We start from the raw sequence: 25,379 nt of genomic DNA on the forward strand, positions 1-25,379 counted from the left end.
CAAGCAGAAAAATTAAATTCCCAAGGAATTAATGCATCGATATAAAAATAAGTTTAAAGTGATTCAATGAATAAACAGAGTTAAAACGTAACAAATATACATGATATCAGAAGTCATTTTTGAGAATAAAACAAACTTTCTATCAATAAGAAAACGAGGAACAGATTAAATTTTGTTAAACTTCATGTTACATATATTTGAATAATGAAGAATAAACTTACCTTTACAATCTGTCTTAGGTTTGACTAATGGATTCCCAGATATGACATCTATTTCTTTAAAAAAAATCTGAACTATACAATAAGTTGTTTTCTCCAGTCATACTCAACTGGCAGTGCAAAGAAGCATAAAGATGCCTTCAATAGATTTTTATTCAAAAATGGGAAGAATAGAAAGCAGGTGGCCATCACTAGTTCCAAAGGAGTGCTGAAATTCCATGTGTTAAAAAATGACTAGTCCCCTACTTCTGAGGAGAAAAATTTTCCTTGATTATTTCCTGCTACTGAGTTTGGAAGTAGAAACCCAATATAAGAGTGAAGATAAGAACAAAAGTCAGTTAAATACAGAAGAATTTCAATAGAGAAAATATGCAGACGTTTATTTGGAGTTGAGTGGCTTTTTTAGCTTGCTTTAGGTCTCTACAAATGAGGGGGTATAAAGGCCTCTTTGAGATTTCATGTATCTTGCTCCCTTTTGTTCCATGTTGGTGGCCCTTTTGGTTCACAAGTATATGTGTATATCAGAACTTCTGGTTTTGAAAAGATGGAACAGATATATTTTCCCCTTTTTCTCCAACTAAGTACAATGAAAGTTCCTAGACATTATGTAGAAAACAAACATAGAATTCTGATGGGTAGAGAGAAGGCTACCTGGGTAGAGACCTTGGGACTCCAGGAATGACAGTGAGATGAGTTCCCAAATTTTCTTTTAATTTCATATATTCTGAATTTGAAGCTGAAGAACTTGGTAACTTTGAAATATCAGAAGGTTCAGACTCAAAAAGTCCCCAAAGGCCTACTCCTTGTAGCCAAATAACCCCTTCTCTGCTCCAACATAGCAGTAACAAGTATTCCTTCCCCTCAGCATCAAAGAGGCAAAGTGGGGAACCTGGGCTTTTCCCTTTACTTGGCAGGAGCAAGGTGGCAGCCCACCAAACCCATCTCAAAATGTTCAGATTTCAATCTCAAATCACTTATCACAACAGAAACCAGAAAATCACAATTGAAATGTGATTAGAGGTGACTTAGCAAGACAGCACACTTCTAGAAAATAAACCACCATGGTTAATCAATCCTCCAAAGACAAAATTGTGGCCCCATTCCTCCTCGCTTAAGCAAGGGCCAAGAGGCCCATGATTTTACCTCTTGCCAGACTATAACAAGTTGCAAGAAAAACCCATGCCTGGGTGGTCTTCAGAAAAGGCCAAATAGGGAGCCCAGACATTCACCGTCATCCTCCCCATTCCCTGCAGTGTCACAGAGCGTGTGAGGATCCAGGACTTTCACCTCCATCAGGCAGTACTGAGAGTAACGAGGCTTCCCTTACCCATCCTGCCTGGGTGGTGTCAGAGGAGGCAGAATGGATGTTTGAAACTTTCACCAACCCCAGCAGCAAGACATCCCCACTGTGGTGTCAGAAGAGGCCACATCAGGAGGAGTAGGTAGACATGCCTCCTCCTGCCGCTCAGGTATGTGTGAAGATCTAGAAGGAAGCTATAACCCCCTTCCCTGCTCCAACCCAGCAGTGACAAGTATTCCTTTCCCTAAGTGTCAAAGAGGCAAAGTGGGGAACCTGGGCTTCTCCCTTTACTTGGCAGGAGCAAAGTGGCAGCCCACCAAACCCATCTCAAAATGTTCAGATTTCAATCTCAAATCACTTATCACAGCAGAAACCAGAAAACCACAATTTAAATGAAAATGGACAACTGTTGCAAACCAACTCGGAGGGAACAGAGATGTTAGGATTATCTGGAAGATTTCAAAGCAGCTGTCATGAAAATCTTTCAATGAGTAATTAAAAAAAAACCTTGAAGCCAGTTAAAAAATACCAAAGCTCAACAAAGAAATAGAAGGGACATAAAGAATAACCAAGTAAAAATATTGTACAAAATAAAACCTAAACAGAGGCTTCTCTCTCAGTTAGGGTTTCTCAAGTTACCATCAAGTTCATCAGAGTCAATACCCAACACTCATTCTCTCCTCCACTCTTTCTAATCTGTCAGATTAATTCCTCTCCTTCACTGTACTTAATATATTTTTGTATTTTAATTGGGAGTTTAAAAATATATATTTTAAAACATAAACTTCTAGTGAAGAGTAACATTGGTAGGAAAAACACCTAAATCTTGTAGTTTGATAAAATATAACAAAAGGAACATATCTATGTAAACAACCAAACAAGTATTGAAATTCAACATTACCAGACCCTAAGCATGATCACTTCTCTCCACCCCCCAAATAACCAATATTCTGACTTGTCTCAAAATTCATTAAATTTGTATGCTTTCCAAATAGACATATTGAGAGGTAAAGCATTATTCTTTTAATATAAACAAAATCTGGCTGGGCGCGGTGGCTCACACCTGTAATCAGAGCACTTTGGGAGGCCGAGACCGGCGGATTACCTGAGATCAGGAGTTTGAGACCAGCCTGGCAAACATGGGAAAACCCGGTCTCTACTAAAATAAAATACAAAAATTAACCGGGCGTGGAAGCACATGCTTGTAATCTCAGCTACTTGGGAGGCTGAGGCGGGAGAATCACTTGAACCCAGGAGGTGGAGGTTGCAGTGAGAAGAGATCACGCCACTGCCCTCCAGCCTGGGCAATAGAGCAAGACTTTGTCTCTAAATATATTTAAAATTTATATGTATGTGTGTGTGTGTATGTAAATCAAAAGAAATATTTGTGAGATCAGTGTTATAGAACCGGGCAGTAGTTCATAATTTATAATGCTGAATATTATTTTATTCTATATCACAAATTCATTTTTTTCTTTAATTGTTGATGGAAATTTTATGGATACCAATTTTTATCAATTAAGGGTAATGTTCCCATCATAACATGAAATTAAATATTTTAGAGTGCATACATTTTGGGGCACATAACAAGAAAAGGAATCTCTTGGTCTTAAATTGTGTTTATATTCAACTTTGATAGACACTGGTAAAAATTTTTCAAACTATTTGTGCCAATTACCATATGCAAGAGCAGTGTCTTTGCAGGGCCAAATGATGAGATATGTTTGCTCTTGTTAGTCTTTAAATTTAGCGATTCACTGTGGTGTGTATAGGCATCCCTTGCTTTATTGTTCTTCACATGATTGTGCCTCCCAGATACAGCACATTTTACAGATTGGAGGTTTGTGGCAACGCTGCATTGAGCAAGTCTATCAGCACCATTTTCCCAAAAACATGTGCTCCCTCTGTTCCTGTACGTCCCATTTTGCTAATGTTCTCAATATTTCAAATCTTTAAATTATTAGTATATCTGTTCTGGTGATCTGTAATCAGTGATCTTTGATGTTACTATTGTTAACTGTTTGGGGGCACTATGAACCACTTCCAAATAAGATGGCACACTTAATTGACAAATGTGTGTGTTCCGACTGCTTCATTCATCGGTCATTCCTCCCATCTCTCTTCCTTTCCTAAAACCTCTCTTTCCCCTCAGACACAACAATATTGCAATTAGGCCCATTCATAACCACACTGTGACCACCAAGTATTCGAGTGAAAAGGAGAATCATGTCTCTCACTTTAAATCAAATTTAGAAATGATGAAGCTTAGTGAGGAAGGCAGGTCAAAAGCCACGGTAGGCTGAAAGCTGGGCCTCTTGTGCCAAACAGTTAGCTAAGATGTGAATGCAAAAGTAAAGTTATTGAAGGAAATTAAAATGCTACTCCAGTGAAAGCATGAATGAAAAGAAAGTGAAAGAGCCTTATTGCTGATATGGAGCAAGTTTGAGCAGTCTGGATAACAGATGAAACCAGCAACAGCATTCCCTTAAACCAAAGTCTAATTCAGTGCAAGGCCCTAGCTCTCTTCAATTCTATCAAGGGTAAGAGAGGTGAGAAGACTGCAGAAGAAAAGTTTGAAGCAATTGCAGGTTGGTTAATGAGGTTTAAATACAGAAGCCATCTCTATAACATAAAGGTTCAAGGTAAAGCAGCAAGTGCTGATGGAGAAACTGCAGCAAGTCATCCAGAAGATCAAGCTAAGATCAATGTTGAAGGTGGCTGCACTAAACAACAGATTTTCAATGTAGAAGAAACAGCCTTATATTTGAAAAAGCTGCTGTCTAGGACTTTCATAGCTGAGGGAAAAAGTCAATTCTTGTCTTCAAAGCTTCGAAGACAGGCCTACTGACTTGTTAGGGATTGAAGCAGCTGGTGACTTTTACTTGAAGCCAATGCTCATTTGCCATGGATAAAATCCTAGGATCTTTAAGAATTATGTCAAATCTACTCTGCCTATATCCTATAAATGGAATAACAGAGCCTTGATGAAAGCACATCTGATTATGAAATGATTTACTGAATATTTTAAGACCACTGATGAGCTCTACTGCCCAGAAAAAAAAAAAAAAAGATTCCTCTCAAAATATTACTGCTTATTGACAATGCATCTGGCCACCCAAGAGCTCTGATAGAGATGTGTAAGGAGATTAATGCTGTTTTCATCCCTGCTAACACAACATGAATTCTGCAGACTGTGGATCAAGGAGTCATTTCGACTCTCAAGTCTTAATATTTTAAGAAATACATTTTGTAAGGTGATAACACAATAGGTAGTGATTAGTTTGGTGGATCTGGCCAAAGTAACTTGAAGCCCTTCTGGAAGAAATTCACCATTCTACATGCCATTAGGAAGATTTGTGATTCATGGGAGGATGTCAGAATATTGACATTAACAGGAGTTTCGAAAAAGTTGATTCCAACCCCTACAGTTGAGTTTGAGTTTCTTCAAGACTTCAGTGGAGAAAGTAGCTGCAGATGTGGTAGAAATAGCAAGAGAATTAGTATTAGAAGTCAAACCTGAAGATATGACTGAATTGCTGCAACTTCACTATAAAATTTTAACAGATGAGGAGTTGCTTTTATGGATAAGCAAATAAAATGCTTCTTTGAGATGAAACCTACTCTTGGTGAAGATGCTGTGAACATTGTTGAGATGACAACAAAAGATTTAGAATGTCACATAAACTTAGTTGATAAAACAGTGTCAGAGTTTGAAAAGATTGACCCAAATTTTGAATGAAATTCTACTATGGGTAAAATGCTCTCCAACAATACCATATGCTACCAAGAAATCATTTATGAAAGGAAGAGTGAATTGATGTAGCAAAATTCATTGTTGTCAATTTTATAAAATTATTGTTAATTCTAATAAATTGCCACAGCAACCTCAACCTATAGCAAATATCACCCTGAAAAATCAGCAGCCATCAGCATCCAGGAAAGACCTTCCAGTAGCAAACTATATTAATACTTGATGGAGGTTCAGATGATCATTAGCACTTATTAGCAATAAATTATTTTTAAGTTAAGGCATGCACTTTTTTTAGACATAATGCTATGGCATACTTAATAGACTCTAGAGTACAGTGTAAACATAATTTTATATGTACTGGGAAATCAAAAAGTTGTGTGACCCGCTTTATTGTGATATTTTCTTTATTGTGGTGGTCTTGAACTGAACCCTCAATATCTCCAAGGTATGCCTGTAGTAATATTTCCTTGTGGTTGAATTTGCACTTCGTTGAAGACATACAAAGTTGAGCATACATTCATATATTTTTCTGATTTTGTTCTAGTTTGAAGTGCTATATTTCCTCGATAATTTTTAAAGTAAATTATACCATTTGTAACTGATTTATAGAAGTTCTTCATATTTTATGGATATAAGCCCAGTATCAGGTATATAATTTTCTTTTTTCATTTGTTAATATCACTTTTTTGATGAATGAATGTTATTAATATCAAAATAGTCCAATTTATTATTCTTTTTATTATTGCTGAACTATTTCAGGCCCTATTTTTGAATTATTTCTGTGCTCTAGGTTCATGAAGATATTGTACTATTTTACCTTTCAGTTTTATAATGATACCTTACACTCTTAAATCATCTTAAAATGCACCTATAATTGATGTTTATGCATGTCTTAAAATAGGGATACATTTTTTAAAATTTTCCATTTGGAAGTGTAACTTGACCATCACTTCCCCTTTCTTACAGAACTAAGTCTGAATAAAACGCTTTGCTCCTCTGCCTTCTGCTGTGAGGGAGCATCTCAGATAGGAGCTGCTTTTCAGCATAGCCCAAAAGCTCCACAGTTCTGTCCTAAGGACGATTTAAAACAATTGACAGCGGCCAACTCACAGTTGTCAACATGTTACAGCCACAAATAACATGGTATAAAAGCCATTGTATTAGGGTTCTCCAGAGAAACAAAACCAATTGTGTGTGTGTGTGTGTGTATGTTATTTATTGTAAGGAATTAGCTCACGCATCTTGTAGTCAGGGAAACTGAGAAGTCTCACAATCAGCTACCTGAAAGCTGGAGACCAAGGAATGCTGATGGTTTAGTTCTAATAAGTGAAGGGCATATAATGCAAGTCACAGTCAAGGACAGGGAAGACTGATATTCTGGTTTAAGCAGCCAAGTAGGGAGAGCAAATTCTTTCATCTTTTGCTCTTTTGTTCTATTTAGGCTTGCAGTGGATTGAAGGATGCCCACTCAGATTGGGGAGGACAATCTATTTTGTGAATTCCATAGATTCAAATGGTAATCTCATCAGCAAATACCCTCACAGACACACCCAGAAATAGTGTGTAGTCACCCATGTTTAATGTTTAATGTGGGTCCCAGCCAAGCTGACATATAAAATTGACCATCAGATCCATTAAAGACTTTAGGTTGTTAAGCGGAATGCCTTAGTAAAGACTGCCTAATATTCCTAATATTTAATTTGGGGTCTGTAGGTGTGGTACTGTTGAGACAAAAATGTAGGTCCTTGACTTCATGGCTGGCTGTCCAGCACCATGGAAGCTGGAAATATGGTAAAATACATTTGCAGTAGTGAAGCATTTGATGAAAGTCATTCCAATAGTCTTGTCGGAAAAAATTGTACAAAAAGTTTTGTATTTTTAAAAAAGTGATTATTAATATTGCTTGATTTGTAACGATTTCAGGTCTATGCACTTTCTTGTAAGGCAGTTTTACTTGCATCCTATATTTAATATATAAATATATAGTTAAAAGAAAAACTTCATCTGAATTAAATTTAAAGGATTTTAATTGAACAATGAAAGATTTACAAATAGGGCAGCCCCCAGAATCACAGAAGATTCAGACACTCCACCACAGTCACGTGGTGGAAGAAGATTTATAGACAAAGGAAAGGGAAGTGATGTACAGAAATGGAAAGTGAGGTACAGAAACAACTGTATTGGGTATAGCTCGGCGTTTGCCTTACTTGAACACAGTTTGAACAGTCAGCAGTGTATGAGTGGTTGAAGTACGGCTGCTGAGATTGGCCAAGACTCATCTATTGTTACAGGCACATGCTCCTAAGTTAGGTTTTCAGTCTTGTCTACCTATTAGGTTAGGTTGCAGTTCATCCACAAGGACTCAAATATGGAAGTACAGAGTCCTTCTCAGGCCATATTTCATTCACTTGAACAATATATACAGTCATGCATCACTTGGTGATGGGGGTCAGTCCTGAGAAATGTGTCGTTTGGCAATTTTGCCCTTTCATGAACATCATTGAGTGTACTTACACAAACCTTGATGGCATAGCCTAATACACACCTGACTATAGGGTTTAGTTTATTGCTCCTTGGCTACAAAGCAGGTATACAGCATATGACTGTACTGAATACTGCAGGCAATTGCAAATAATAGTATTTGTGAATCTAAACATGTCTAAACCTAGAAAAGGTACAGTAAAAACAGGGTATAAAAGATAAAAAATGGCACATATGTGTAGGGCATTTACCTTGAATAGGTTTTCCCGGACTGGAAGTTGTTCTAGGTGAGTCAGGGAGTGGGTAGTGAGTGCATGTGAAGGCCTAGGTGCTAGCTTGCACTACCATAGAATTTATAATGACTAGTCTATATTTAGGCTACACTCAATTAAAAAAACATATTTATCTTTCTTCAATTATAAATTAACCTTAGTTTACTGTAGTGTTTTTACCTTATAATTTTTTTTTTTTTTTTTTTTGCGATGGAGTCTCACTCTGTCGCCCAAGCTGGAGTGCAGTGGCTTGATCTCAGCTCACTGCAAGCTCCGCCTCCAGGGTTCATGCCATTCTCCTGCCTCAGCCTCCCGAGTAGCTGGGACTACAGGCGCCCGCCACCACGCCTGGCTAATTTTTTGTATTGTTTTAGTAGAGACGGGGTTTCACCGTGTTAGCCAGGATGGTCTCGATCTCCTGACCTCGTTATCTGCCTGCCTCGGCCTCCCAAAGTGCTGGGATTACAGGCGTGAGCCACCGCTCCTGGCCAACTTTTAATTTTTAACTTTCTGACTCTTTTTTTTTTAATAATGCTTAGCTTAAAACACAAGCATATTATTTAGTTGTGAAAAAATATTTTATTTACATTTTTATTATATAAGATTTTTTCTATTAATTTTTTTCCTTTTAAACGTTTTTTGTTAAAAACAAACACATACATTTTCCTAGACCTACACAGTATCAGAATCATCAATTTCTCTGCCTTCCTCCTCCACATCTTGTCCCAGTGGAAGGTCTTCAGGGACAATAACATTCATTGTCTCCTATGCTAACAATGCCTTCTGAAATACCTTCTGAAGGACCTGCCTGAGACTGATTTACAGTTAACTTTATACATATATGTATACTTATATGTGTATATAATTTATTTTATCTATATGGCAGTGGTCCCATGAGATTATAATGGAGTTGAAGAATTCCTGTAACTGTGAACTCATAGCCATTGTAACATTGTATTGCAATGCATTACTTATGTGTTTGTAGTTATCTGGATGTAAAAGGAAATATATATTAGCATTTAGATCATTTTTAGCATATACTTCATATTATTATATTAGCATATTTGAAGTATATGCTAATATAATAATAAAAGCATAGTACAATAAATACATAAACCAGTAAGAGTTACTTATTATTGTCAAGTATTACTCACTGTTCATAATGGTGTGTGCTATCCTCTTATACAACAGGCAGCTCAGGTTTCTTTACATCAGCATCACTACAAACACATGAGTAATGCACTGCACTACAATGTCACAATGGCTATGAGGTCACTCAGCTATGGGAATTTCCAACTTTGTTATAATCCCATGAGACCACTGTCAACTAGGCAGTCTGCTGTTGACCAACATGTCCTTCTGAGGTATTGAATGACTGTATCTTATTCTCACTGGTATTCTTTTTCATTCAGCTTCTAATTTCTGTTCTTAGTCCTCTGTGGTCCAAGTGAAAATAACAGAGTGAAGAAATTCTTTCTTTTAGTGGGGAAGTGGTAAACATTTTTACTATTTGCAGTATTATTAGTTGGTAAAAAGTACAATGTCAACTATATGTTTTCTTCTATTTGGAATTTATTGAAATTTTAGTTGATGACAAATAAATGCTCAATTAATAAATGAACTCTTAAAAACTCCATGTTCTTGAACATAGAGGGGAACAACACACACCGGGGCCTTTTGGAGGGTAGGGGATGAGAGGAGGGACAGGATCACGAAAAATAACTAATGAGTACTAGGCTTAATACCTGAGTGACAACATAATCTGTACAACAAACTCCCAAGACACAATATACCTATGTAATAAACTTGTACCCTTGAACTTAAAAGTTTTTTAAAAAACCACAAAACTCCATGTTCTAATCTCAGCACTTTGTGAGTCCAAGACAAGAGCATTGCTTGTATGCAGGAGTTCAAGGTGGCAGTGAGCTATGTACAGGGTCATTGCATTCCAGCCTCTCAAAAAACAAACAAACAAATAAACAAACCTATTACATGTTCTTTCTTATATTTATAAGATACAAATAATATGAATAATATACAAATATAGTAACCTATTAACTATGTTCTTAAAATAATGTATTTCTTCAATTGTCTATTTGTCTACTTAATCGGTTGGTATTTGAAAGTTATATAGAAGTTTTCAAATGTTATTGTAGCTCATTACCTTTGCCTGTATATCTAATGTTTTTTGGTGTATATATTTTGATCCTGGTTTTAAGTACATATAAGATGATGGCCTTATATATTCTTGGAAACCACCGTTTTCCACAAAATTCCTCTTTTATATGTTTAACATTTTGGATTAAATTCTGGATGAATATTTTCAGGCCAACTTAACCTATCACAGAAGTTGTTTAGTACCTCTTTGTCCCCTGCTTATTTTTCATCTTTATGTCTAGTTATAGTTCGTGTTGGCCTCCCAGTTTTAGCTTATAACTGCTTCTGTGTTATTGTTATTTAATCTAAATTTTATACTATTTATTTTTAATAAGGAAATAGTCTTCATCCACATTTGTTGTACATATTATCATTTTATAAAAGTTTTTAGTAGTATGCTTTTTAAAATTTTTGTATTTTTTCAATTTTTGGGGAATTGTGATTTTTTTTTATATTTATCTTGAATAATACATTTAACAAATGCTTTTTACTGACTTTTTAAAAAGATTTATTGAGAATAACTAAACTAGTTTTCTCTCAACTTTAAGAGTCAAGTGTAATTTTATTTATATATGTCCATACACACACATTTAAAACTGCAGATGAATTTAGAGCATGTGTATGTGTTTGTGGTATTTTTGTATTTATTGCCTATCTAAGAGCAGAAAATGACAGTGAAATGTCATGGGATTGGGAAATAGAAATTGAGATTGATTACATTTGCTGATTATTAATACAGTTGATAGGACTATCCATATAATGTTTCTTTAATGAGAAAGGAGAGACCACCACCAATTTATGCAACTTTGGGTACCAATAACAATTTATTCTAATAACTATGTGTAAGAAATGCATGGCCAATATCAATGGTTCACAAAATATAGAAAATTATCTATATGTAGATTTTGTTTATCATGTAAAATGTTGATTCATTTTACCTTCCAAATAAATTCTTGTTAAACATTCTGAATTTAAAAATATATTTTCTATTTTATTTTTAAAGAGTATACATCATCTACACTGGGAGGCCGAGGCGGGCGGATCACGAGGTCAGGAGATTGAGACCTTCCTGGCTAACACAGTGAAACCCCGTCTCTACTAAAAATACAAAAAGAAATTAACCGGCGTGGTGGTGGGCACCTGTAGTCCCAGCTGCTCGGGAGGCTGAGGCAGGAGAATGGCATGAACCCAGGAGGCGGAGCTTGCAGTGAGCCGAGATAGCGCCACTGCACTCCAGCCTGGGCGATAGAGCAAGACTCAGTCTCAAAAAAACAAACAAACAAACAAAAAAACAAACAAAAGAGTATACATAATCTAGTTCAATCTTCTTTTAATACTAATTGTATTTAAACCTCTTAAGTGTAATTAGCAGGAGATTATAACTTTAATAAATAAAATCACATTAACATTTAGATAAGACAAAAAATGATTTTACAAAGTATAAATATGTATCAATCTAAATAAAATAATGTATATTATTATTATTAGAGAATATAGTGTTGTAAATGTATTATGCAAAGTGCATGCTTCATAACACAGTCAAATTATGAACATTCTAAACACATTTAAGAATATTTAAAAAAGTAACCTTGAAGAAAACACAGTACAGTAAGCTTTCTTAAAAATATAGTTGTTAATAATATCTGTTATTTTCTCCAGGCTATTTTTTAATGTTTTAAAAGGTCAATTTATCAGAGTACCCATAAAATTTCATGGAATTTGGTGTTTCAGATTTGATAGTATTTTTTTTTTCTTACTGAGCATGGCTGTATAAAATCTAAATTGACCTAAGGTATTTTGTCTCTGAATGAAGTTATTTATTGCAAGTACTTTTCTCTTATTTTGACATCTCTCTGCCTAACAGAAAAATCCACTCTACAGAAGTAATGGAAATAAACATTGCTTCCAGAAAAATAATTATAAGCCGTGGCTGAAATATAAACACCACATTTGAGCTGAAAAAAGATACAAATCTAAAGTTGACCTTTAAAATAAGGTTCAAATTATTTTAATATAACTAAAACACAAAAAAATAGTCATTTTATCACTAATTTTAAGTACAATTTTAATTTGTTAACATTTTTAATGCACCAAAGGAGATAGTTTATTTAATGAAAGGAGATAGTAGATACAGAGATAGAAGATAGAGATCTTGGAAGGTTATAAGGTCTGCAATTATTTAGTTTTCTTAAAAACTGTAATGTCATATCTCTAAAGGAAAAGAATAGCTCAGTACTCTCTGTTTACTTAGAACAGGCATTTCATCAAATAAAAGTGTCACTATCATTTATCCCCAATTCTTTTGAAGTTGAAGAAATTATGTATTTATTTCCAGTGAAAATATTAGTAATAGACAAAGCAAAATTTTAAGTGTAATGATCATATTATACATTTATATTACTTACATAAAGTAACATAATTAATTAAACCAAAAAGTGTTTAGAAATTATGATAGCTGTGGATTCAGATCATATGCCCTCAGAAAATGCCAAAATATAACTTTTCATTAACGTCACATTTGGATTTATATAACTGTTTTCACATTGGAAGTTATGTCACTTTCTTGAAAACGATGAAAAAGATGTCTGCATATTTCTGTATCCTCTTCATGAGCAGCTTTGTCCTTTGTGCTGAGTACTGCATGACAACAATCTCCCTTTTAAGCAGGTCATTTGCCCCAATTTTGTGGCTTAGAGCAAGAGTCTCGTTATTATATTACTTAAGTGTGGTTTATTTCCTGTCATATCGTCTTTGCTTCCCCTTGAAATCAGAGCTGCGGAAACTGTGGGCTGAACCTTGGGGACACAGGGACAGCATTTGTGGCAAAGGAGCAACTTATTAAAACAAACAAAAAAAAGATGTTCTTTTGTCCTTCAGGAAGATACACTTTGAAGTACTGCAAGGAATGTTAAAAACAAACAAACAAACAAACAAAAAAACTGGCCTGGCACCGTGGCTTATACCTGTAATCCGAGCACTTTGGGAGGCTGGGGCAAGCAGATTGCCTGAGCTCAGGAGTTCAAGACCAGCCTGGCCAACATGGTGAAACCCCATCCTTACTGAAATACACACACACACAAAATTAGCTGGATGTTGGGGCATGTGCCTGTAGTCTCAGCTACTCGGAAGGCTGAGGAAGGAGAATTGCTTGAACCCGGGAGGTGGAGGTTGCAGGGAGCTGAGATCACACCACTGCAATCCAGCCTGGGCAACAGAGCGACTGGATACGTCCCCACACAAAACTGGCTAGCTCAGTCGTGAGCTCCCCAATGCCCTCATGGTCCTAGGTGCCCATCACCTTGCCCAAAGGCCCTACAGAACTTCTCTGCAAATATTAATCATAATGGGCTCTTTGTAAAATAGCTTACAACATTCCTTTATCCTTAACAACAAACTCTACAGGAAGCAGGCAGGGAGATATTACTATGCATGGTATGACTATATACTAAGAGATGAAAGAAATGAATATAAATTCAGTCTACAGCTAATGATGACTCAGCACTCTCTTATAAGGGCTAGAAATACATTTATCATGGTCATTGAATGGCATCTGAAAAACAGGCATAGGTAATGATTTGAAAAAAGTGTTTTCTCCACGTTACACAACCGTAACATTTCTTCATATCCTTACCCTTTCTTTCATTCCTCAACTTCTGTTATATTAACTATCAATACATTCTTTAATCATTGACTTCCTTCTCCACTCATCCCCTAATTCTGTTTCACTCATCTCTCTCACCCTGTGGACACTTCTGATTATCAAGACACTAAAGGTTTTTCCTGAATTGTCTGGTTTTGTTTGTTTGTTTGTTTTCTTGTTGCAGGAGCAATTGACAACAATGTACCCACACTTGCTTGAAACTCTGGCTTTCTCCTGCTGGTCTCTTCCACAATGCTCTAGTTGAGATTCCTTCCTAACAGACCCCTTCCAAGATTCTTTCGTTGGGTTAATTTCCTCTTGCCAATTCCTAATAATAAAACTACTTTAAAGATTGGTACTTAGCTATATATGTATATTTCTCAATTCATTATTCACTCTCCCAAAGAATATACAAACTATGATTTCAATTTTTTCAGTTCCTTTTGAATGAATATCCAAAATGCTTCTCTAATGCTTACTTCTGTTATGATTTTTAGCTGTGTCTCAGAAGTGTCTTTATTTATTTATTTTTTGTTTGTTTGTTTGTTTTTTTGACTTTGTTAGTGACTTAGGGAGGAAATGTGGTAGAAAAAAGATGTTACACTCACCTGTGGAACTTTTCAAATCAAATTTGAAATCTAGAAAACTGAGTTGTAGGCACTTTTTTGAGATTCATCATGAACTTCTCACCTCAGGTTTTCTCAAATACTTAAAAGAAGTACAAACGGCTTTATTAGAAGAACAGAAAGGATTTAAGGGTTCCTGTAGTGACTTCCATTAGCTGCATTTAAACACCACTTGCTAAAAGTTCTATTTCTCTATTGTGAACAGTATTAAACATGAGACTATTCCATCATACTTTCTCTTTTTCTCTAAAAATATAAGTTTTCTGTATACCTTCAGAATATGATCCGTGTTTCTAATAGTATAACCCTTCTAAATCATTCACACGTTTCCATGAATATCTCCTGTTGTTACCTAACCATTTATGTTACTGAATGAAGACTTTCCATTACAACAGGCATTTGACTTCACTATCATTAAAGAATTTTTCCTCACATATCGGAACCTATGGAATGATGCCTACACGTAAAATAGTTCTTTTTTTTTGGCTTTTGTTTTTAAATTTTGCTTTTAAGTCTGATTACAATTAGATATCTTGTAGCATATACCCAGGTAATAGCTGTCACTTTTACCTTTTTTTATGTTGCAGTGATTTCTCATTCTTGGTTTTGTAATTACATGGCTTAAAATCCCCCAGCACCAGGGTTCCAGAAAGCTGATTACTCTTACTTGAGAAAGTGAAATCATTTTCCGTCTCCTTGGGTGAATACAAATCAAATGATGCTCTGGTTTTAAAGCTCTCTTGGCTTTTTTTTTCTCTCTCTCCCTTTTAAACTGCTTGCCTTGTCTCTCTCTTGTTACAGGTCACCTTCTGCAATCAGATGTTTCATTTTCCAGAAATATGTTCCCTATTACTCAAATACTGACTCACTTTCACCTTGTTAGCCTTTAAGTCTAAATTCTTTAATATCAAGTATTTTTCTAAATAACATTGTCATTTTTTACAGTAGCTTTCATACCTGAATATATACCACAATCACCCAGAAATCTTTAAGATATAGATAAATAGATAGATAGATAGATAGATAGATAGATAGATAGATAGATAGATTCCTGGAGATAAACTGATAGATGGATAGATAGATAGATAGATAGATAGATAGATAGATAGATAGATTCCTGGAGATAAACTGATAGATAGATAGATAGATAGATAGATAGATAGATAATAGATAGATAGATAGATAGATAGATAGATAGATTCCTGGAGATAAAGTGATAGATGGATGGATAGATAGATAGATAGATAGACAGATAGATTCCTGGAGATAGATAGATAGATAGATAGATAGATAGATAGATAGATGATAGATAGATAGATTCCTGGAGATAAACTGATAGATGGATAGATAGATGATAGATAGATAGATAGATAGATAGATAGATAGATAGATAGATTCCTGGAGATAAACTGATAGATAGATAGATAGATAGATAGATAGATAGATAGATAGATAATAGATAGATAGATAGATAGATAGATAGATAGATAGATTCCTGGAGATAAAGTGATAGATGGATGGATAGATAGATAGATAGATAGACAGATAGATTCCTGGAGATAGATAGATAGATAGATAGATAGATAGATAGATAGATGATAGATAGATAGATTCCTGGAGATAAACTGATAGATGGATAGATAGATGATAGATAGATAGATAGATAGATAGATAGATAGATAGATAGATAGATAGCTTGATTCCTGGACAATACTTTAGGATTGTATTGAGACCAAGCAATCTGTATCTTTAGAAACCTTGGCCAGTGACATCAAATGAGAATCTGTCACAGTCCTAGGAGCTTGGATCTATAAATTAAAGCTAGAGAAGATAGTTGGTTTCCTATACATTATCAATTTGAAGTGTTGAAACAGACAAATAGTATACAAGATACAAAATTTGACAATAAATACAAGCAAAAACTATTATATTTACAACAATGCCTTTTCTCATTTCCCTAGCCTTGGATTTTGCAACTACTGCTACACACAAAATTGACATCCCTCCACATTCAGCTCTCTCCCTAAGTGAGATCTATCTAGGTTTGACACAAGCAATATCTAAATATCTCTGGGAATTTCTGCAGCTAACTCTTGCCCTTCACTTGTAGGGCTCCTCAGACACCGAGTCATCCTCTCTGTTGAATTGCTGCTAGATTCAGTATTCTAGTGCTGACATTGAGATTTTGTGTTGGTTTCACAAATTTAGTTCATTCTCCTAAAAACCTACACTCTAGTAATGGTGGCCTCACTTTTAGTTGCAGCCTTATTTAAAAAGCATGTGTTCCAGGTGGAGAATTTCTGTTTCAACTTTGATCCACAATCTGTTTCTAGTCTAATATATACATAAGTCTTTAATACTACTTCAAAGTTTGAAACTTTTAGTTCCTTGTGCAATTTCCATCCTCAATCTTTATTTCTAATAATAACCTGCCTCTGCAACCAGTTGTTGTGTGTTTGTTTGTCTATAAATGTTCTGTCTGCCTGGGCTTAGAAAGTGTTTTGAAACAAACGTCTTGTATTGGACCTTCACAATAAACACTGTCTAAACTGCCATTAGTTTAGGTAAACTCTGTGGCATTCTACCTTGCCTACTTAAAATAACCTCTGCTGTGAGTCTGCTCTGGCCAGCAAATACTGTCTTTGACCAGAAGATGATGTTAGTGATATTTACTATCTTTTTCTGGAGGTAAACTCTGATGCTAATTAGCCAGGCGTGGTGGTGCATGCCTGTAATCCCAACTACTGGGGAGGCTGAGGCAGGAGAATTGCTTGAACCTAGAAGATGGAGGTAGCAGTGAGCTGAGATCATGCCATTGCATTCCAACCTGGGCAACAAGAGCAAAAATCCATCTCAAAACACACATACACACACACAACAACAACAACAACAACTATGATGGTTTTTATTGACAACTGTGAATATATTAAGAAAACTTGAATGCAATATATATTACTTGTCTTGCACATTGCATAGCCTTATGAAGAACATGTTTCTAAGAGCTCTAAATTAAGTAGTTCTTAATCTAGATTATGAGATCCCTTAGGGAATGCAAATTGAGTGATCAGATTAATGGCAATATAGAGGGATCAGCTATAAACCAATCTCACATATAAAGACAGAAAAATATAATTCAAGGCAGTTTAGTAACAGGTGTAAATGTCAACAACTTATTCCCTCATGAAATTATTAATACAACTGCTCTTGCTTGGTTACCATATACACATCCTCAGTTTTAATGGGTTAAGTTTGCAACAGATGCTCACTGTGATAATGTAGGGTTGAGGCTGTGAATAAACTTTTAAGGCGTTGTATGACTGCACAACCAATGACTTCATTATCTTTATTGCCATGTATTTCTCATGCATATATTCACTTTTTATCTGGAATGTAAAAGAACATGGAATTTAAGCAATTACAGCTCTCATAAAGACATTTAAAATGCTTTTTTGGTAAAGTCACTAAAGCAAATTGGCTTGCTACTCAGCAACAAAGATTTAATACTTAATGAAATAACAGGTGGCAGGCAATCATTTCAAAGGAGAAGGACGTGACTAATAGCATAAAGATAATTGATTGCATGGATCTGAGCCTTTGATACTGTCATGGAAAACACTAATCATCTAAGAATTTTTATAAAATATATTTTCTATTATGGTTCTATGTTGTGTTATAAAGCTGATAGAAATTGAACAAGTAAAGAGAACTCTTGTGGGAATATGATACCTTTAACTCCATGGCCCAAAGATACAGTAAAATATAGAATAAGGATATGGTAACATTAGCCAAACAATTTCTTATAGGAATATAAGTAGGCCTTTGAGTGGTAATGTCGCTATTCTCAAACAGCATCATATTTATACCTAGTAATGGTTTAAGGGAAGTGGTATGCCACTGATTATGCACAGCCTTTTCCAAATCTCCTTCATGTCAATATTTTGAAATGAGCCCTGTGTATGTATTCATACCATGGAAATGGACCATGCTATAAAATAGTACACACACACACACACACACACACACACACACACACACACACACACACATCTATCTATATCTATATCTATATCTATATCTATATCTATATCTATATCTTAAAGACCACTTGCTAAACATTTACCATGACACTCTGTAAGGTGAGTAAGGTGAGGTGCACAGAGTAAGGATTTCCTGACCTCAATATACATGTGAACAAAGGATGAAATTTTTGCTCCCTGTCTCCAAGCATTCATACTATATGCTTACTACTTTGGTTCCTTGGAGATCTAAGAACAAGTTGGAGGAGTGTGAAATGGGTTAGCCATTTCGCATTGCCTTCAACTGGTACTATGAGGGAGCAGAGTTCTAGTCCCAGTTAGTGCACTTGAACATGTGTAGGAAACACACAGTAAGTAGATAACTTTGCTAGAGGAAGCCCATTCTTTCTGTCTTCAGATGACTGGAAAAAGTGTTGGATAAGATAATTATGTATCCTGCTCAATTACAGAAGCTAAATTGCATCTTAAATGCAGTGTGCTGATTAGCAAAATGTAGTATTCTGCATATTAGGTATTAAAGTATAGAGCAGCAAGCGTTCCAGAGGAATCTGAGAATCCTAACCCAATCTCCGAAACATCTCCAGTTGCATGCTTCATGCCTGAAGATCCTAGATATTCATCGTAATGAAGGGTCTGTAATATATTGAAAATTGAAGGATAGCTCCTTAAGTATCCTGACTGATTTTATCAATTATTATACTTTTTTGAGGTCATAAAATGAAATGCTGGTATAATTATGACTTAAGAGCAAAGTTGGATACAATTTCTTGCATGAGTTAAAGTCAAAAATATTTCTCAAAATGAAATTGGCAGCCAGCCAAGTTGATTCGAGGAGACACATATAGACAAGGAAGCTCTAAACCAGGAGCGTATGAAATAAGATATTTTAACAATTAATGCCTTGTTTGAGTTCAAGTGTTTGGCCTAATATGAAGTGGATTGCAAAGGTAAAGGACTAAATCTAAATATTACAATTAAAGTCTCTGTCAGAGGCAGTTAAGTAGAAGCACTTTATTGAAATAGGGTCTTTCATGATTGTTTAGCCCCATGAAATATTTTGGCTTTATTCCTTGTGTTAGTCTACTCAAACATTAGTCTGCAAGTCTCCTTTTCAATATACCTCTTTTTCATCTGTTGTTTCTTTTACCTACTATTCTTTGCCCATGTGATTATTCTGTCCTTTTCTTCAAGCCACTTGATGTTAAAGAATATTTTATAAAGGCTTCAGCTAAAAAAGTTAAATATTTCTTGAAAATTAAAATGTTTTAAGTCAAAGAATACCTTTTATTTCAGTAGTGGTGATGATAACTGAGGAAGATTTGCCTACCTACCAGTGTGCAAATTGTTTCCATTTTGTCAATTCATAATCGTATCCTGTGTTTATTAATACGGCTGTTTGCTCAACTTCTACGGTTACATTTTATTTTAAATTATTTCTTTACATGTAATTAAGAAAGTAAACATATATGTTTGTAAACATACATGATATATATGTTTCATCATATATGAAAGTAAACATCTATGATTTTTGAAAAAAAATCAATGAATGAGCCTGTAAAATAGTGAGACTAATAGCAAAAATAATTCAGAAAATAGTCTCTTCGCAGTTTGAGTTTGTCTGTGTATTTCAAAGTGTTAATAAGACTGAGGGTCAATGTGACTTTTCCAAGGTTTATTGCTTTCAGAAGTCAATGAGTTTCTTTTCTAAATCTAATTTTCTGGGTGATAAATTGATGGGTATTCCATGTACTTTTTCAGCATCTTGTTGGCTGTCTTTGCACAGATTCAATATTTAATGAGAGATCAATACTTCCAAAGTACATTTTCTTTTACTTCCTTCACTTAGGAGTCTGGGTAGCTACCAAATCACGAATATCACCAAAACCACAATCTCCATCATCACTCAACCAACAGGAATCTCCTGAGAGCCTGCTTCATGCTCAGCACTGTGAAACTTGCATTGAAAAACGAAGGCACAAAAGAGAATACAAAATGGTTTTATATTATTGGTAGGAGAGTTATCAACATAGCAAAGATTAATAGAGTATAATGTGATTGGCGTTTTACAGTCAGAGAATTTTAGAATTTTTGATCTGCCTCTAACACACTGGTTACCCAAACTCTCCAATTAATAAAGTCAGACTTGCCAATTGGCACTGGAGAATTAAACAATGTAATGCATTTAATTATGTAGATTGGTGCCTGATATATTTTAGGTGCATGCTTAATGGTAAGGTGATAGTAATTACTTTGATTAACTGATGTAACTATATATTGTAAATATCACCAAATGCTGAGAGAGAAACACGGCTCCTATATTTGAACCTGCCATTTAAAGGTTTGCTTATTGTTGTCATGGGCGAGTCATTTAGCATCTTAGATTTCCAATATTCCTCCCTCTAAAGTCAGAAAGGGGAATAATTAGTTGACCTTTAATATTCTACCTAGTTGTGATAGTCAACGATTTCATGCATATTCCATTACTTGTAAACAAAAGCTTATAGGCATTAAAGACTTTAGATGGCTGTGTGTGTGTGTGTGTGTGTGTGTTTGTGTGTGTTTGTGTGTGTGTGTGTGTGTGCGCGTGCATGTGTACGTTTTAATTCCATTTGAGTTTCTATTCTAAGCTGTGAGCTTGTCTCCAGGATAATGCACATATGAATTTATGTGCACAGATTTTGAATTGAATTTCAAGCCATTCTAATCTTTGTAGTTCACCTGTAGCCCCAGCTCTCAGGGCGAAGACCTGTCCTCTGTGTTAACTGTCTAGAAGTGACGAAAATCACTGGTGGCTGATGTCTGGAATCTGCATATGCCTTTTTAACATTAATTTTCAAGGCAGTTTCTCAGACCAAAATGTCCTGGCTCCTGTTGTTCTACTTTGTCTTTTAAGAATATGCCCAGGAGGCCATAAGTGCTTCATTTTTTTCTCTTTTTTAATATCACTACGTTGCATTCTAACACAGAGTATTCTTCTTCTCCAGAATGTCACAACTGAAAATGCAACAAGAAAGAATTCCTCCATGTTCCCCCTCTCTTTCAATTTCGTAGATCTTATTTGTTTGTTTATTTTGATGTAATTAATAAAAATAATTGAAGAAGCAGGATATGAACATGACTAAAAGCATGAAATTACAAAGCCCAAATTGATGAACTTCTACACACTGGTGTATGTTATTGAAAGCCTTTGGATTCTGTTTGTTTTTACTTAGGCTGGAGCTCACTAAATTGTCAGTTTTCTTTTGATTCCCTGACCTTCTGTAGATTATGTTAACCTCTTTTTTCAGTGAGCTACAAAGAATTAAAGTAAGATCTTCAATTACAAAGATTTAGTGTGTATGAATAAGGCAAGAGGTCCAAATGCAAAATTTTACTTATATATTCAAATTTAATTCTTTTTAAAATTCTTTATTAGATCAGGTTAAATCAGTGTTGAACATGATACCGGCATATCCTCTTTTGATCCATAAAGTACAAACCTGTAGTTTTCTATTGAAATCATCTATATTTATACAGCTCATCAAATACTCAGAGGGATAAACAAATAAAGAAAAAAAGAAAAACAAAGGAAAAGGAATCAAGTATAGTTTCTTAAAGTTAAATGGTTGTTTTAAAAAACTGTAACAACTTATTTTTGTCAATGGAAAAAATGTGAACTTTTATTAATATTCTCTTTTCAAAATGCTTCTAACATATATGACTCATTTAATATTACTATTTTATATCACTTTCTTAATTAATTGCCTATTTCCCACTACAAAAGCTCATGAGCATTTAACAATAGATGCAAAGCTCTATGGTGATCATTTCACTTGTATTTTTTCATTTAATTTTCACATCATCCACATAGGACATGTACTATTATTGTCTCACTTTGGATTGCTGGTAAATGAGACAGAGAAAGATGAGTCAACCTGAAAAGATCACGAAGTAGTAAAAGATGGAACTGATGTTGAGCCCACCCCATCTCTCCACATGATCATCACAAACACAATAACCCGTAACCAAAAGATTGAGACAGAGGACTGCAAGGTGATGGTTTGCAAAAACTTGAATTCCAGATGTCTCTTTCCTTCCTTTTCTCCCTCCTTCCTTCTTTAACTGTAAACTAACTGCATTCAGAATATACAACTGACATTTTAACTCATCCTCTAATTTTTTTTTCTTCTATGTAAAGTAAAAATCAAATTCCTTTTAGGAAAAAATGATAATCAAAAACTGTACATTAAAATAAATATTTCCACTAAAATAAATGGCTATCACTGAATGCATCCAGTCTTCACTTGTGTTTTAATTTCACAATGACCCCTTTCCTTTTTTTTTTTCAAATTTACGTTTCTTTGTTTTCATGATCAAGTTTAAGCTTGAACATTTTCTTACACTGAACAGCTGTTAAATGTCTGTGTTTGCAGACCAAACAATTGTCACTAGACTGACTATATAGCCTATACAGTAAGAAGGAGGAAATTAATCTGATGCAACATTTCTGATGATTTTTTTCCACCAGCCTATCTAAGAATTTGTGTGGCAGGTATGCAAAAATCAACTTCTAGCAATCAAATACATAAACTAAATAGATTCCAAACGGAAAGTATAATCAATCTATCTCAAATAGAGTAAGTGGACTAATAAGCATATCATCAGAGATGCATCTAAGATTCTTTAACATTCTTCTTTACTTCAGAATGCCAGCTTTACTGGGAATTAATATCCAAACATCAGGCAGCTATTGCCTCCAACAACAATGAAGCTGGTATGGCTTTCAGTTTAACATCCATGATATGCTTCATTAAATATATTTCATTTTACTGTCAGATTTTTTAATATGTCTCTGAGCACACTTCATAATTTTTGAAAGATATTACGAACTAATTTGTTTCCCAGAAAGCATACTTTCCATGGATAATAAGAATCATGATGCATTTTTATGACTTTATGTGTATTAATCAAGAGCTTTTTTTATAATGGAATTTTCCCTGTTCCCAATTCTGCTTCACATATGCTAAGACAATGACAAGTTGAAGTCAACTTCTAACATTAACTTTAAACACAAAATATCTTAAGTGCATAAATATATTAGCAACTTTTTATATTGTAGTAGAAAATCTATTGACCTTAGTGGAGAAATAAAGACTTTCTCCCTCAATGTATCTATTAAGAAGTTTGGTTTCATGAAATTTAGTGATGAACTGTTACATGGTAAAAAATCTTTTAAGTGTTAAAAAGGAAAAGCCACAAGGGTTCTTAAAATATGAAAGAAAGGAAACATTCTAGATATCTTATGAAGATTATTACTTGGATATAATCATAATATTCAGATAGGAGTTACTGACTATATATGCATATCTGTGGAGACTCTGCCTAAAAATTTGAATACATTATAGATATTTAAGTAAACATTTTACTTTCTGATCCATTTCACCTATTGTCCTAAAGAAGCAGAAAGGTTAAAGACCTGCTCAGGTCAGGAAATGTTTGCCAGCCTAATCAGAACTGTCACCTGCTCCCTATTACAACTCACTGTACCCTCTGAGAGTAATAGGTTTGCTTATTTTCTCTTTCTAAATCCACATGAGATAAGAAAACAAAACAAAACAAGACAGTCTTTGGAGTCACAAAGGTTTCATGCAAAATTGATTATAGTTAATTTTAATTGTCACTTAAGGTATTTTCAAATATGTCCCCTTCTTCAACTGGTATTATTGTTTGTTTGTTTGTTTGTTTGTTTATTGTTTACCCAACAAATATGACTATCATCTTTGTTATAGTCAGTAATTCCAAGTGTGCTGGCAGAGCCTGGAAGCCATTAACAAGCAAGTGTGAGAAGTAATTGAAGGGAAGAATAAAATTACACTCTTCTAGCTCCAGGATCATGGTGGGTAATAAGAGAATTAGACATTTTTACTTCTCTAGGATCTACCTTTCACACCAAAATGTCTCTCTGAGTTTATAAAAATATAAATAAATGAACCATTCATATACCATTCTGAAATAAAACAAGCATGTTAACAAACACTGTTAAATGTAGAAAGCATTTTAATACCATTTTTAGGGAAAAGATGGAGAATATTTTGTGAATTTGGGCTATAGAATTAATACTGCTTGGAAAATTTCCTCTCCATATGAATGGGCCAGTTTTTATTTTAATGATTTTTTTTATTTTTAAAATACTTTGATGTAAGCAACTGCTGCAAAATAAACTCTTAAAAACAACACAATCATTTCACTTTATTTTATTTTTCTTTATTCCAATAAGCCTTTTTACTCCTAACACAACTATTTAATAATTAAAATTAGTTACTTCTTTTTTTTTACTGAAAAAATAATTCAACTTAGCTGTTTACAAAGAAGCTGTTGTGTATTTAAATTAATTTCACTGATTTAAATATAATTTACAAAGGGAGAAGCAAGAATATTGAAACTGAAGTAGTAATGCTTGGTAAGAAATGAATGGAAATTTTATTTCAAACAAGAAATCTACAAGATGTTTGTGTTCACGTTTTGTTACTTTCTGATCTACACAAAATTCATTACATTTTTGTTTTCCAGTATTATATAGCTAGGTTTCCACAGCAGTTTTCTACAATGGGAGTATCTTGGGAATATAATTCTTCATTATTTATTCCTAGATTTTCATTTAGGCACAGATTTTATTCCTACATGCCCCTGAGGACTACTCTGATTAGCTCTGAGCTCATTTTTCAAAGAATATGGCAGGAAACCAGCAGGTAAAATCTTAAAATTGCTATGGCAATGCCTTTCCTTGCTCTTTCAAGGTTTACATTTTCTAAAGGAGGCTGAATACCAAGAGTGACATCCACACTGTTTTCAGATCACTTGTGTTAGTATTCAGAAAGGAGACTGATTTACCATGTGTGGGCAGTCCTTCCTTATGTT

At 34.6% G+C, this 25,379-nt stretch overlaps 3 long non-coding RNA genes across 4 annotated transcripts in view; 2 read left to right on the top strand and 1 right to left on the bottom strand.

The window, feature by feature from the left end:
• Positions 1–9,220, bottom strand: part of LOC105372173 (uncharacterized) — a 94,828-nt gene extending 85,608 nt beyond the window's left edge. Inside the window, exon 1 of the long non-coding RNA NR_188049.1 lies at positions 9,177–9,220. This is a non-coding gene — a long non-coding RNA (uncharacterized LOC105372173). The remainder of the gene's footprint in view (positions 1–9,176) is intronic.
• The window catches only part of DSEL-AS1 (DSEL antisense RNA 1), a 383,074-nt gene that overhangs the window by 241,286 nt on the left and 116,409 nt on the right, over positions 1–25,379 (top strand). The window lies entirely within an intron of this gene.
• LOC105372172 (uncharacterized) lies at positions 9,352–24,586 on the top strand. Of its 2 annotated transcripts, XR_007066404.1 has the most exons (4): positions 9,352–9,386; positions 20,329–20,491; positions 22,333–22,514; positions 24,251–24,586. It is a non-coding gene; the product is annotated as an uncharacterized LOC105372172 (long non-coding RNA). The 2 variants fall into 2 exon arrangements; XR_001753486.1 differs by lacking the exon at positions 9,352–9,386 and having other exon boundaries at positions 20,032–20,491.

This window comes from Homo sapiens, chromosome 18 (genome assembly GCF_000001405.40).
Source record: "Homo sapiens chromosome 18, GRCh38.p14 Primary Assembly".
In the NCBI taxonomy this organism is placed as follows: domain Eukaryota; kingdom Metazoa; phylum Chordata; class Mammalia; order Primates; family Hominidae; genus Homo; species Homo sapiens.